Here is a 16089-nt window from a genome sequence, read left to right as displayed (position 1 = left end):
GAGAGGTATAAATATACTCGGTAAGAGATAAATTAACCAGTTACCAAGGTTACTGCCAGTGTTTATATAACTATTATCCATTATAAAAACTTGGGAAATTATGTTAATACTGTTGTATTAGTAAGTAAATGCCAATGATGCAATTAAACATACCTTATAAGCCATTTCTACTGCTTCCTTTAATGTCTTATCCTTATGAACCTCCAATTTATTTTCCATCATTACTTGTTTTGTAGGATGCAAACAGAATAATTTTATCTAGAAAATGTAAAATATCATCATCAACTCTGCAGTTCCAAAGTTCAATTCTTCCGTAGATAGCATTTATTCCTAATTGTCAAAATACTGCAATTTTTTAAAAGAACATAATTGAGATCACTCTTCTATCTATTCTTTCTCACTTAGTAATTGACACCAGTTATGTCTCACACCATACAAAAATTCAAAAACATTAATTTTAACAACTGCATGTTTCCTTATAAGCATGTATCATATTTATGTAATCATTCCCCTACCAATATACATTTGTGTTGTTTCCAATTTTTCCCTAATTTGGAAAATGCTATAATGAATATCCCTGTAATCAAGATTATTACAGTAATTATGATTATTTCCTTAGGTAATTCCATAAGAGAAATTATATTAAAAAATATGATTTTGCTTAAGGCTCTTGATAAATACTACTCAATTTCTATCCAGTTTTTACGGATTTATTTTCTTTTAGTAGGATAAGAGAATGTGTCTACCTCAACTGTGGCTTCACCAGCACTGAGCACCGTCACTACATGTTACTGGGTTTTTACACATCAAATCAAATCAAATTTTACCTTTATAGTATAGTTGGTTACACTGTTCAATGATCATGATAGCATAATTGTCTCAGAATCAACCCAATGAGTTAGTCATTAGAATTGCAGGTAAGCGAGCTTAAAAATAGCACTTTCAATTAAAAATAAAATGATGGAATTCAACCTTGCATGTATTGCGCTCAATTTCTCGTTGTCTCTTTTCTTGTTCTTCCAACTCTCTCTCTTTCTGCACCAAGTTTTTAATATGTTCTGGGTATTCATCCACTTCTAGAAATTCTATTAGTAATAAAAACAGGATAAGACAGTGTCACTGAAACTGAGCTGCCTTTATTCATCCTGCTTCACTATGCTCTCATGGTATATACTTCTACTGTAGCACTCATGGAGATATATCTCCATTACATCCTTCTCTCAACTTGGAATACAAGCTTCGTCCAGAAAAGGGTTAAGAGACAGTTAACAGGGACACATGGTTAGGTCCATATCTTAAAGAGCCATGTATTTATTCAAAATGGCTCTTGGCTCCAGAACAACTCCAGTATGTGGATTAATATTTTAGAATGAAAAAGCTCTCTGCAACTTGAAAATAATTTCTGACTTCAAATCATGCCATCCCCATCAAACTGTGTGACCTTGGGCAAGTTTACTTCTCCAAATGTAGGTCTCTTCAGCTTATTAATATCATCTACCCCATAAAGTTACTACCTGAGATACAATAAAACTTAATAAATACTGCTGCTGTTGCTGCTACTGAGTACTACCCATTTGTTTACTATTATCTTTCCTGTGTTCTCAAAGCAGTCTTTAGCTGCTTCCTAACCAAAGAATGCAGAGTCATAAAACTGACACCTTCATCTATTGGATTTCTCCCTCTCTATATGGTCAAGATTCATTTGAATACAAAAAGTGATGATTATGTGATATAGTTTGGACATCTGTCCTCGCCCAAATCTCATGTTGAATTGGAATCCCCAATACTGGAGGTGGGGCCTGGTGGGAGATGTCTGGGTCAAGCCTCATGGCTTGGTGCTTTCTTTGCCATACTGAGTTCTCATGAGTTCTGGTCATTTAAAAGTGTGTGGCACCCCTCCCCCAACCCCGGAACTTGCTTGCTCCTGCTTTTGCCATGTGAAATGCCTGCTCCCATATTGCCTTCTGACATGACTGAAAGCTCCCTGAGGCTTCATCAGAAGCTGGGCAGATGCTAGCATCATGCTTCCTGCAAAGCCTGCAGAACTGTGAGACAATTAAATCTTTCTTTATAAATTACTCAGTTTTGGGTATTTCTTTATAGCAATGCGAGGACAGCCTGATATAATTTGTGAGGCTACTTTTAAACAATTAGTTAAAAGAATAAAGTATATGCAAAAAATCATTACTATAGACTCACATATAATCATTTTTACGAAAGTTTTTCTTAATAATTACAACTTCATATGTAACTCAAAGCATTCAAAGGGACAATATGAAATTATGACACCATTTAATAAAGCCAATGATTATTTGGCATTAAAAAGGGGAAAAAAATTTTATCAAAAACAGCATGTGTCCGTAAAAGGTAAAAGCTGTTGTTTCTAGGAAAGAACTCTAATTTAAAAAATATTCCATGTCATGTCATACAGCGCCCTCTGGTGCTTTATAACAAAACTAGAGTTGGGGGAGTAAAAGAAGGCTGAGTTATTGCACTATTGGAAGGTTGGGTCCACGTGAGGGACATGAATTACAATACTGGCTCTGCTTCCAGATAGCTATGACCTGGGTCAGCTTACTCTTTGGGGTAGTTTCTTTATAATACAGTACAAATGATTACTTCTGCTCTTAAATCTCTGTTCTGAAATGACTTACTATAATTTCCATTTATTTTTTCAATAATTCCATAGTAAATTATTGAACATTACTATATGACAGATCCTAGAATATACTTTATGTGAAAAGATGAGTAAGTCCTAAGCCTTGTACCAATTGAATTCACCATCTAATGAGGGTTTACAAAAATGTGAATAAAAACATAATGCTTGAAACAGATTTACTAATAGCAACGGTAGTGTCTAAACAAAGGAAATATACTGAAATCAAAGATTGTGATTATATTTTTTTTAATTATGAAAAGACTATGAGCAAACACATCACCTGTATATGTATCTGTACACACCCCCCTAGATATTTGTAATACAGCCTGAGTCAGAATTAGCAAGAAAAAACAAACACTGCAATATTTTAAAAGCAATAATTCCAAAAATGTTATCGTCCCTACATCAGACTGCACATAATATAATCTTACTACTAATAAACATTCAATTTATTTAATGTAGTTTTGTCTCTTCATATATTAAAAAATAATTCAACAACATTTTTTCAAGGTCCTTAACATTTGGTATTATTTTGTAACAGTCTTTGTAAATAATTCTTCCAGGCATAAAACAACTTAATTATCCTATCATTTAAAAGTAGTTATCTGGGTTTGCAAACTTACAAAAGAAATTAGTTTATAACACAAATTAAAATCAAATAACTGTAGGTAAACATACTTGCATTTCTGGCTGGATCCTTCAGTCTATAGATCAGCATATATGCATTTGTGGAACTAGTAGAAACATAAAAAAGATTAATAAGGACAAAAAGTAGATTAAAAAGATTCCACTTCTAAGCATGAAATATTTAAATTGTGATTTTTTAAAAAACAATTAGAAAATCATGTCACTGTTCACAGACACACTGAGATTTAAAACATTCCAGATAAGAGGAAAATCTGTTTCCTCTTATCACATTTAGAGAAGATTCCGTATCTCCTCTTGGTAATACAGTAAAGTCTTTAACAAAACTGTGTATTGGAATGTCTACATACAACAGTTAAGTCAGGGGCCAGCAAGTTGTTTCCAGCAAGGACCAAATAGTAAAAATCACAGGCTTTGCAGGCCATATGGTCTGTGCTGCAACTACTCAACTATGTTATTATAGTGTAAAAGCATTAACACATAATATAGAAACAAATGGCTATGTCAGTGTTCAAACTTTATTTCCAAAATATGGAGGCAGGTTGGATTTGGCTCATGGGTTGTAGTTCCTCAATCCCTTGGTTAAATCTTTGATGATAAAAAAACACTGAGAAGCTATAATTAATTCTAACTTTTAAACACTGAAAATTAGGAAATTGCTTACCTTGCGAAAGCACTAGAATAATATCCTCTGCTTCCTGAAGATCCACCATGTGTTTTCTTAATGTCCTCTTGTGTTATCTGAAAATGTGTTACATGATTTTTTTTGCAAATTCTATAACACTATCACATTAACGTCAATATGTAACTCAATCTTTAGCCTCAGAGTTAAATGCTATCAAAGACCTTCATGATTGCTCACACAGCTACCAATTCACAAAATTTAATCATAATCAGTGGCTGCTTACCAGCCAGCCAGTTCTAGTATTCCTAATCACACGTGAAGCACAAGTAGCACCTATGAAGGTTCAGGCCCAGAGGAAAATTGGTAGTCTATCTCTGGAGATATTCAGCAAGCCCCAAACAAAACAAAGCAAAACAAAGAAATAATAAACAAAGGCAAGAACTTTACTAAAAGCAAAAATTAAAGACAGATTTGATATGGGTCTTAAGATGTATCACTAGACAGATTCACTCATTCTTAATAAACTTTACTGTTGTTTAGAAACATCCTTACTCCCACCTTTCAGAGTAATAATCTTAAAGGACACCTCCTTACCCTGCTGACATGTTGATCATTGAAGCTGTACCACTGCTCATCACTGAATGACTTTATACATGCATAATAATGACCACCAGCAGCGCTCCCAGAATGAACCATAACAGAGAAAAGTTCATAGATCAAGGAATTCTAAGGGGAAAAAATAAAAGTAACTCAGAGGAGAAGGAAAACACAACCCTTATTTGTGTATTTCCTATTCTCTGTTAACACACAGAGAAGTAACATGGTAAGTTGTCCTATATATTACAGGTCAACTTTCCCCTAAGGTAAAACAAAAATGGCAAGTTATCAAACAACTGTATATACCAGAAGTTACACAAGTTTCATCAGTGCACTCTTCCACATTTTAATTATGCTATAACCTTTGAAACCATATATATCTGTAAATATAAACTTACATATGTAAAAATTAAATAATAGTCTAAAATTTCAGAAGCAGATGCTAATTACAGTGCTGTTCTAAAATACACAGTCGATAAAAAAAATCCGAAGTAACATACTGTTTCTTATTCAAATTCTATTTCCTTTACAAAAGAGCTGAGGAATATAATTATTTGGAACATCTTCTAATGTATTTATGCATTATCTGTGATATCATGATCTACTGATTTGTTCTCTCATATTAAGAATGAATCCTGAATTATACTATATCTACAATAAATTAATATTATTTCTTTAGCTTCCTGTTCTGCAAACAATTCTTTAAAGTTTGGAACTAAAGATTATTTTAGGCAAACTTAAGTATTTGTGGAAGAAAATCAAGAAAAGAGGCAACTTGTTTAAAAAAAAGAGGTCATTTATAATGACTTATTTTTATATTTAAGACAATCTTTTCTTTCAGAAGCCCATGTACTTCACAACTCCTAAGACAGTTTGAGATACTAGAGACTCTGCAAACCAGTAACTCTATCACAAAAAAAGAACAGGTAGGAAGACAGAAACAGAGAAGGAGGTTAAAAAGGCAATTTGACATCAGAAGATTTCCAGTTTATGACAGACAAGCTTTATTTTATTTACTTTTCTACAAGTACTAGGGTTTCTCTTCTTTATTCTTTTCCTAAAAAGCATTGTAGAGCCTTCTATAACTTTCAAGAAATTCTAATTTATCTTAAAATAACTTTAAACTGACCACAATATATTGTTAATTAGTGAAATTTCTAGAACAAATTTTGAAAATGTCTGAAAACTTGTTTTGTGGTTCAAATTTTATTCCTAAAACTAAAATTAATTACAGTGGTGATAGGGAGGAAGTTTCAGAATTTATTTGCAATCCAAAATGTGTTTAAAGCATTGAACAACTTATGAAATGTGGTAACCCCATGTTATTAAATTAAAATGCTTTGAATGTAGTAAATACACTAGACAAAATTTTGATATCACTGAATGATATGAATATCTTATCATAAGCAGTCTCCCCATTTAGAAAAAAAATAAACACAGAAAAAGTCTGCCAACCAACAGCTATACATTTTTTAAGTTTCATCATAATGATCAAAGCCAACATAATTATCTTCCTGGAAAATTCTAATAGCAGCAACTTCTAGATGACAATAATGGTGATATATTCAGAAGACTGAATCACCTTCCAAATTAGAATTGTATATATCTATTTTAAAGCAAAGATAATACAGTCATGACAGAGTAAGGGTTCCCAATTGCAATAATTTTAGTTTCAAATCACAAATACATTGCCAAAAAGTAGGAAGGAAAGTAAAGTGCCTTCATCCAAATGTAGCATGATAATTTGTAAATAAAATTACATAAAAACGTGTCCTAACATTTTCTTCTCTTTTACTACTATTTAACAAAGCAATACATTACTCCTAATTAAAAGGGGATACATCTTCAAACATGGTACTAGCAAACAGAATTACAAATTTCTAGATCTGCGTAGAACAGAAAGCACCTAGTCCAAATTCCTCCAAAATGTAGCAAATGAAAGGCACACAGATTAAATGATTTGTCCAAAGTGATACAGTTTATTAATAGCAAAGTAAGAACTAAAATCTAGATCATTTGGCCCACTAATGCAAGGGTCAAAGAGTGAGTATTTTAGGCTTTCTGGGCCATACGGTTTCTGTCGCAACTACTCAACTCTGTCATTATAGTACAAAACCAGACATACATAATATGTAAACAACCAGAGTGAATGTGTTCTGATAAATCTTTATTTACAAAAACTGGTAACACTAAGCAACAGACCTGGAAGCTCAACACCAAATAGAATAAATACCCATCCTGCCCAATAAACCAAAAACCAAAACAACAACAAAAAACAAAAACTCCCATGTTTAGGCATATCATGTTCAAACTGAACAAAACCAAAGACAAAAAAATCTTCAGGGGAGGCAGAGGGGAAAAACACCTTACCTATAGAGGAACAAGGATAAGAATTATAGCACATTTATCATTATAAACCATGCAAGCAAGAAGAGTGTAATGAAATATTTCATGTTGAAAGAAAAATTACCACCAACCTAGAATTCTATATCCAGAGAAATAATCCTTTAAAAGTGAAGGAGAGAAACTAGAAATCAATAGCAAAAGGAAAACTGGAAAATTCACAAATATGTGTAAGTTGTTTTAAACAACACACTCTTGAACAACCAATGGGTCAAAGAAGAAACCACAAAGGAAATTAGAAAATATCTTGAGACAAATGAAAACAAAAACATAACATACCAAAACTTATGCAATGAAACAAAAGAGGAAAGTTTATAGATGTAAGTGCCTACATTAAAAAAAAAAAGAAGACATCTCAAATCAATAACCTAACTTTATACCACAAGGAACCAGAAATAGAAGAACAAACTAAGTTGGGAAGGAGGGATGTAAAAAAAGAGGAAGAAGAAGAAAAAAACTAGATTCAGAGTTAGCAGAAGGAAGGAAATAAAGATTAGAGCAGAAATAAATAGAGAATAGGAAAAAAAAATGAAACTAAGAGCTGGCTTTTTGAAAAGATCAACAAAGTTTACAAACCCTTAGCTAGGCTAAGAAAGAGAAAAGACTCAAATAACAAAAATCAGAAATGAAAGAGGAGACATTATACTGAAGCCACAAAAATAAAAAGGATCATAAGAGACTGAAAAATTATATGCCAACAAATTGGATACCCTAGAAGAAATGGATAAATTTCTACAAACGTTTAACAGCTTATGAAGGCTGACTCAAGAAGACATAAAAAATCTGAACACATCTATAACTAGTAAGGAGATTGAATCAGTAATCAAAAACCTCCCAACAAAGAAAACCCCAGGACCAGGTTGCTTTGCTAGAGAATTTTATCAAACATTTGAAGAATTAACACGAATCCTTCTCAAACTTTCTGAAAAAGTAAAAAGGAGAAAAACTTCCAAACTCATTCTATATGGTCAGCGTGACTTTGATACCAAAATTAGACAAAGATACTAAAAACTATAGAACAATATCTCTTTGATGAATATTCATGCATAAATCCTTAACAAAATACTAGCAAACCAAATTCAGTAACACATTAAAGGACTATACATCATGACTAAGTGATCAATGTAATACACTACATTAACAGAATGAAAAAACCACAGGATCGCTTCAATTGATAAAGAAAAAGCATCTGACAAAATTAAACATCCTTTCATGATAAAAACACTCAACAAACTAGGAATAGAAGGAAATTACCTCAACATAATGAAAGCCTTATATGAAAACCCCACAGCTACCATCATATTAAATGGTGAAAAACGGAAAGCTTTCCCTCTAAGATTGGGAACAAAGCAAAGATGCCCATTCTTACCACTTCTGTTCAACGTAGTACTGGAAGTCCTAGCCACAGCAATCAGGCAAGAAGAAATAAAAGATATCCAAATAGGAAAGAAAGAAGAAAAATTATTTCTGTTCACTGATGACAATCTTGTATGTAGAAAATAAAGATTCCGCATAAAAAAAAAAACCCTAACAAGTAAATTCAACAAAAAGTGCAGGATACAAAATCAACACACACACAAATCTGTTGCATTTCTAAATACTAACAATTTATTGTTTCACTAACACTAACAATCCAAAAAGAAAATTAAGAAAACAATTCCATTTACAATAGTGTCAAAGAGAATAAAATTCTTAGGAATAAACTTAACCAAGGAGGCAGAAGACTCATACAGTGAAAAACCATAAAACATTAAGGAGGCCGGGTGCGGTGGCTCACGCCTGTAATCCCAGTGGGAGGCCGAGGTGGGTGGATCATGAGGTCAGGAGATCAAGACCATCATGGCTAACATGGTGAAACCCCATCTCTACTAAAAATACAAAAAAATTAGCTGGGCGTGGTGGCCGGTGCCTGTAGTTCCAGCTACTCAGGAGGCTGAGGCAGGAGAATGGCGTGAACTTGGGAGGTGGAACTTGCAGTGAGCCGAGATCACACCACTTCACTGGAGCCTGGGCGACAGAGCGAGACTCCGTCTCAAAAAAAAAAAAACCAAAAACTAAAACAAAAAAACATCAAGGAAAGAAATTAAAGACACAAATAAATGGAAAGACATCCTCTGTTCATGAACTGGAAGACTTAATACTGTTAAAATGTCCACACTATACAAAGTGATCTATAGGTTCAATGCAATCCTTATCAATATTGAAAATAGGAAAACAACAGAAAAAGTGAACAAAACCAAAAGCTGGTCCTTTGGAAGAAAAAAACCCCAATACAATTGGTAAATCTCTAATTAGGCTAACCGAGATTAAAAAGACGACACAAATTGCCAGTATCCGAAATGAAAGAAGGTTCATCCCTGCATTAAAAGGACATTAAAGGACAATTAAAAGGACAATAAAAGAATACTTTGTACAACTCTATGCCCCCAAGTTTGATAACACAGATAAAACAGACCAACTTCTTAAAAATCACAAACCACCAGAACTCACAAAGGAGAAACAGGTAACCTGAAAAGTCCTATATCTATTATAGAAATTAAATCAATAATTAACCACTTTCTAAAAAAGAAAGCACCAGGCCCAGATAATTTCTCTGGTGAATTCTACCAAATATTTAAGAAACAATACCAAGTTTCCACAATCTCTTCCAAAAATAAAGGCAGAGGGAACATTCCCTAACTTATTACATGAGCCCAACATCACCAAAAGCAGATAAAGACACTATGAGAAAGGAAAACTACAGATCAATGCATCTCATGAACACAGATGCAAAAATCCTCTGCAAAATATTAGCAAATCAAATCAACAAAGTATAAAAAGAAACACACACCATGACAAAGCAGGATTCATTCCAGGTATGCAAAGACAGCTTAACATTTGAAAATCAATCTATGTAATTCAGGCTGAAGAAGAAAATTACATACATGATCATATCAACTGACATAGAAAAAAAAATCTGGAAAAATCCAATACCTATTCATGATAAAAGTTTTCAACAAAGTAGGAAAAGAACATAAAAAACTGAAAGTCAACATCACACTCAATGATAAGAAACTGAAAGCTTTCCTCTGAAGATTGGAAACAAGGTAAGGAAGTTCTCCCTCACCACTCTATTCAACACTGCATTGGAAGTCCCACAGAGTGCAGTGAGACAAGAAAAAGGCATGCAGATGGGAAAGGAAGAATACTGTCTTTATTTGCAGATGAAATGAAAGTGTATGTAAAAACACAGGCAAGGGCCCAGATTTGGCTCTTGAGCCATAGTTTGCCAACTCCTGCTAGAATGCCATGTTTCTATACTCAGTTACAATGTACTTATTACATTATTCATTACATAGCAATCCCTGCTCAACTGTCTGCCCTGAATGAAACAGATAATTTTAAAAAGTAAAGGGTGGTGGTGATAATTAGAAGAATGGCCTTGGTCTAAAAACAGATTTATGAAAGTAAAACTCTATTTTTAAATATTGCCTTAAAAATCCCTATATTTAATGACTCTGTAATACCTGAGTTAGTGATCAGTCTTCACATTAGGAGTTTATTATTCACACCATGCTCAAGACGTTTTATCTATAATCTTTCCCTCAATAAAACAGAATATATGTGGAAAAAAATGGTCTAAAAAACCCTTAAAGTTATTGACACAGGGGCAAGATCCTATCCCAGAGATTATCCAATTCTGTGGTTTTCAAATGATAATCCATAGAACTATACCATTTTTCAAAGTGTCTTGAGGACTATCGCAGGACAGGGAAGAAAGACTAGGGGGCTTTGGCATTTCCCTACTCAGAAAGATCAGATCTATTATTAATTGTCTCATAAAGTGTTTCATGGCCAGACTTTTAAAAATCAATGACTAATCCAACATTTTACTTTTCTATATAGGAAAACTCAGACAAAATTTATAGACACTTGCTGCAACCTTAAAGGCAGAGGTGGTAATAGAATCTTGGTTTCTTGACTACTAGGCATCGTTTCTGTACCATCCAGCTTGCTTAGACAGTTTAAAGTATGGTCTCCCAAAAATTAATGTTCTTACCTGTAAGCAGTTTTTCCTGAAGTTTAATTATAGTCATATATATATATATATATATATATATATATATATATATATATATGTACAAAAAAACTATATTTGAGAAGTCTTAACTTTCAAAAATTAAGTTTCTTTTAAAGATAACTTTATCAGTCACAACAGCTATAGAATTATATAGGAAGTCAGAGATTATTCTCACTTTCAACTAAAAAATGCAAACTATAAAAGGTACCTTTTCAAGTCCAGATTTTGAGATCTTTTCAGTTCCACTATTGGTTTCAAGACAGATTCCTTCATCAACACCATCATCATTGGAGAAATCGTTGCTCATCTGATCACTGTGACAACTACCTTCATTTTCTGCTCCACTGTCAGTGCAACTTTCAGTCTGAGGAGATTTCTTAATAAGACATAATTATCTTAGTTATAAACCATATACAGAGAAAATATGTTCAACAAAACTTTGTACCTATATACTGCTAATATTTTCACACAATTTAACATATTAGTAAAAATATTTTACTTTGAGTACATTTATTTTCTCTTAAAAATTGAGACCTTAAGTAAAATTAAACAAGCAACAGTGTATTTTAAAAGCATTTCTATCATGTCCTTAAAATTCTAATACAACAAATTAGTGATTCAGAATTCTATTAAACCTCATTTATGTTTACTGTTACAACATAATGGTTGAAATTATCATTTCTTTTAGCAAAATCCACAAAATCAGAGAAGCTGAGCTCCAAAATGAGCTTCTGGTGTTCTCAAATCAGGAAAGAATATAATTTCTTTTCTTGAACAAAAAGTCCAACTCGGTTTATCAGTGCGTTAGGTATTACAGATAATTAGAAAGAGAAACAAGACATTGTATTCATCCTTAAGAACTTGATAGTCTTTTTACAGGAAGTAGAAATATAATGGTTACAGCACATTATACTTTTCTACTTTATGGTTTTAAACCACATTCACACAAATTTAATTTGAAGAATTCTCTTTGTTAGAAACCCCCAAACAATCCTTTCCCCCTTTAACGTTTTATATACATCTCTAAAAATGTTTTTATTTAAATAATTTGAGAATTTTCTAAGATGCAGGCTTTTGAAATGTATAAGGCATTGCATAGAAGTTCTTGAGTGAAACCAAGCAATATACAATAAGCACAAACTTTTTGCCAGGAACTCTTGTTGTAGGTACTACATCTAATATACAGTCTTCATCTCTCAAGAAGGTTAGGTTCAAGGATAAATGGAGATGAAATCCAGCTATAGATCTAAGTCCAAAGAGATATAATTCCTGAAACTTCTTCAGCTGAGCCAAAACATTTCTTGTCCCAAGAACTAAACCTAGAATTCTCTAGGAAGTTTCTACTAAGCTTCATATATAAGTTTTCCTTCTTTGGAAAAAATTTTCCTTTATGAGAAATATATTAGGCATATTCAGAAGACCAATCTACTACTGATCTCTATTTGAGTAGAAATCCTACAAAGATTATGTCTCCTCTCAAAGTCTGGCACACTTTGGGTAGATTTCCTAGCTTAAGCGCAACTGTCTGAGACATTATTTTAAATTAAACTTTTCAAAATGTTATTGATCATAGTTACCATTCAATGAACAGCTACTTCATCTATGGCATCTGGAAATGAGGCTCAAAAGGTTTTATGAATTATCCAAGGTCAAGAGGCTAGCAAGTAGCAGGACAAGAATTTGAATCCACATCTAGCTATGCCTAAAACATGTGCTCTTCTACACCAAACTGCCTCATAGTACTCAATAGTACTAAATAAAACTTAGTGAATGTTTAAAATTATTTTTGAACTCCTGGGAAAAGGCATTTTTTATAACTATAGTAATCAGTTCCAGTAAAACAAAACAAAACAAAACAAAAAAAAAACGCTTCAGGGTAATTCTGAGAATAAATCACTTTGAAATAATTAGCCTAAGTGATTATAAGTATTCCACATAATAAAATCAGAAGAGTTTCCAAAATAATAGAGTGGAATATTGTAAGTCTTTCATTGAATAAGGATAGAAGAACCAGAGAATTTTGGCAGGCCAAAGTGTGGGAAGAAATTGATAAGCATTACATCATGTGTCACTTCAAATCCCATGCTTAAATTATTTAAATAAAGTTTCAAATTAAAAAAACTAAAAAAGGAAAACAGACAAATAGTAAATACAAAATAGTAGGTAAGTACAAGAAATTAAGCCCATGCTATTCAGTTGGTTCATTCATTCCATCATAGGCATTGTCTGCATTTATTATAGATCAGAAACATGAGTATGGCTTACCTTCAGGCTGGTTTCAATAACGACGAAATTATAAAATATAAGATTATCACTCAACTTCAAGAAATAATTCCAAAGCTGAGTTCCTTATTGTCTTTTCAAAGAGTATCATAAGTTACTCTGATCAAACAAGAATATTTAAAATATAATTTATGCAGTCAGGAAAAGCTTATACAAAGGTAAATCATTTTATTGAATTCCACATTAGAAAATAAGAAAGAAAAAGTTTCCATCAAGAAGACAGTCCAAATGACATCAGTGTTATTACCTCAAACAGCTCTTTCAAAACCATGACTGACTAATGTGGATTAATGAAAAATACTTTAAAATAACAAATATTTACCTCATCTTCAACATCAATAAAAGTACTCATATCTAGTTCCTCGGGAAATGTCATTCGATCATTCAGTTTAATCCTATGCATGGTTGTATAATCAAAATCGAATCTTTTCAGCTGTAAGGTCAGCAGATAAGGAAAATGCAAAAACCGAAGGCCCTAAAAAACAAACAACAAAAAGGGGGAGAGTCTATTGAATATGGAATATTATCTCAGATTCCTAAGTATTAATCTCTACATGGCATTTACCTTCCGTGCATCACACTTCTTCTTACAACGTTCACAAAAATACTGATTTGGGCCATCCAGAATCTCTGGCTGAATAAATGCATGCAATGCTTCTTCCTAGTTAGAAAAAAATTTGTTTTATAATTACTTAAAATATTATATTAATGACAAAATCCTGAATAAAAAAGACTGTAATTACTAAAAGTTATAAGTAGAATGGTTAGAAATTTAGGAACTCAAAATGTACCAAGGAAAATTATCAACAGTAAAATAATATTATCACTATAAAAATTAAGCAAAAAAAATTATTTCATTCTACACAAGATTTGCCTTTCTTAGTATTGCAGTATCACAGTCATTTCAACCTGATTTTCATTGACTTTACATTGCAGTGTTTGGCTAAATAATCTCTAAAAATATCCTCAGTCCTTAGATAAAAAGTAATTCCACACTTCTAAGAAAAGCAGTTGCATGCATCAATCTTCTTATAAAAGGAAGCATTTAAAACTGTACAGTAAATATCAATGTTCTCTAAAGAATTCACACTTTTCATACACTTAAAAATCATGTAAGCATCCTTAATCGCCATAGTTAGGATCAGTCAGTAATCTGCCACTGCACTAGTTATAAAGATTGAAAAACACTGTGCAACCTTCTGTGTGTGTGTGAGATACTGTTCCATTTGGAAATGTATAATGAGGATCCTGGATTGTTAATTTGGTAGAACCACGTGGTTCTCTTTTCTCCATACAGCATTACAACAGAAGTAAGAAACTTCATATAAATACTGTTAAAGAATCAGTGGCATAAAGTTAATTTTTATTTTAGTAATTGGTTTTTCACGATTAAAAAATTAGTTAATATAGCATATAAGATTGGACGCATAATCTCAAATTTCATCTGATGTTCTCTCTTTTCTTCACACATGGGCTAAGCAGAACTACTGATAATATTACACATAAACTAAAAGAAATGGAATCATTAAGACAGTATCTTCAAATATTTTTCTTTTGATATAGGACAAGCTGTTCCTCAAAAGATAAAGGAGCTTAATGGTCGTAGTTGCAAAATATCTGGCAAAGCTTAGAAAACTACTGTCCACATATTGTTTGATAGAGCTCACTTTGGAACAAGATAAAAATAAGAAAAGACATAGATATTCAAAGGTGTCTAAACCCATCTGATCCCCTATTTTGTTCTCAGAACACAAGGAAACAAGTGAAGAAACCAAACGGCTGGGTTTTTTTCCACATGACCATGCATTTTATTGGTGGTCAAATGACACATTTAGAAAAAAATTTTTTTTCCCTCTCAGGCATATTTTTGGGGGAAAAAGGAAAGTTCTATAAAAAACAACAGAAAAACAAGCTTTAAAGAAATTACATCTATAGCTTAACACAGACTGATACTAAATGTCAGGCTTTCCAAATAGTGGTAATTTAAACTGGTAAAAACTCAATATTCAAAAAAGGATGGGGGGAGAGGGAGAGTGAGATAATTATGTAACTCAAATTCTACTTTGGTGTGTGTGTATTGGTCTCCGGCTTATAGTTAATACCTAGAGATCTTTAAAAAAAATTAAAACTTGGAGAAAAGTTTAAAGAACAGAGAACTCTCAAATACTTTACTCATATTCATCAACTTTTAAACATTTTTGCCAATTTTGCTTTCCCTCGCCCAACCCAACATTATTATGTATCTTTGTTTTAGCCATTTGAGAGTAGGTTCACACCTCATCATGCTTTGCCTCTTAACTTCAATATGACTTTTTAAGAATAAAGATATTCTTACACAAACAGTAATCAAACTCTGGAAAATTTAATACTGATAAAGTACTTTCATCAGCCATATTCCAATTCTGTCAATTACCTTAACAATGTATTTCTCTCCATCTAGTACACAATCTGTCTCAAGGCCACAGATTTTGTTTGGTCTCTTGAGATTCCTTTAATCTCGAGGCATTCCAGAGTTTGCCTTTCTTTCATAACACTGATATTTTTTGAAGAACAGAGGCCACTTATTTTATAAAATGTTCTGCAATTTGGGTTTGTCTGATGTTCTTCATTATTAGATTTATACATTCCTTGCTAGGCTACTATGACATTAGCAAAGATGTGCCCTTCTAAGGGTAGCATAGTCACAGGCCATGATGTACCTAACTTTCTCTTTGGTGATATTAGCTTTAATTATCTGGTCAAGGTATTGTCCAGTCTCTCTACCATATAGTTATTATTTTTACTCTCGCGGCTAATAAGCAATCTGTAAGGAGATAC

The 16089-nt window shown here is 32.6% G+C and overlaps 1 protein-coding gene across 18 annotated transcripts in view; it reads right to left on the bottom strand.

The window, feature by feature from the left end:
• USP47 (ubiquitin specific peptidase 47) overlaps positions 1–16089 on the bottom strand; it is a 119916-nt gene that overhangs the window by 27799 nt on the left and 76028 nt on the right. For 16 of the 18 annotated variants that reach the window (NM_001372095.1, NM_001372093.1, NM_001372094.1 and 13 more), the window contains 8 exons: positions 13838–13933; positions 13595–13747; positions 11198–11365; positions 4524–4655; positions 3969–4045; positions 3338–3393; positions 973–1085; positions 154–258 (listed from right to left, as the gene is read on the bottom strand). In NM_001372095.1, coding sequence (NP_001359024.1) covers positions 154–258; positions 973–1085; positions 3338–3393; positions 3969–4045; positions 4524–4655; positions 11198–11365; positions 13595–13747; positions 13838–13933 — 900 coding nt within the window. The remainder of the gene's footprint in view (positions 1–153; positions 259–972; positions 1086–3337; positions 3394–3968; positions 4046–4523; positions 4656–11197; positions 11366–13594; positions 13748–13837; positions 13934–16089) is intronic. The other 2 variants (NM_001372092.1, NM_001372097.1) reach the window with 2 other exon arrangements.

The sequence above is a fragment of the Homo sapiens genome, chromosome 11 (assembly GCF_000001405.40).
Source record: "Homo sapiens chromosome 11, GRCh38.p14 Primary Assembly".
NCBI lineage: Eukaryota > Metazoa > Chordata > Mammalia > Primates > Hominidae > Homo > Homo sapiens.
The sequence above is the reverse complement of the archived record's forward strand: the minus strand, read 5'-3'. Positions and strand labels throughout refer to the sequence as shown.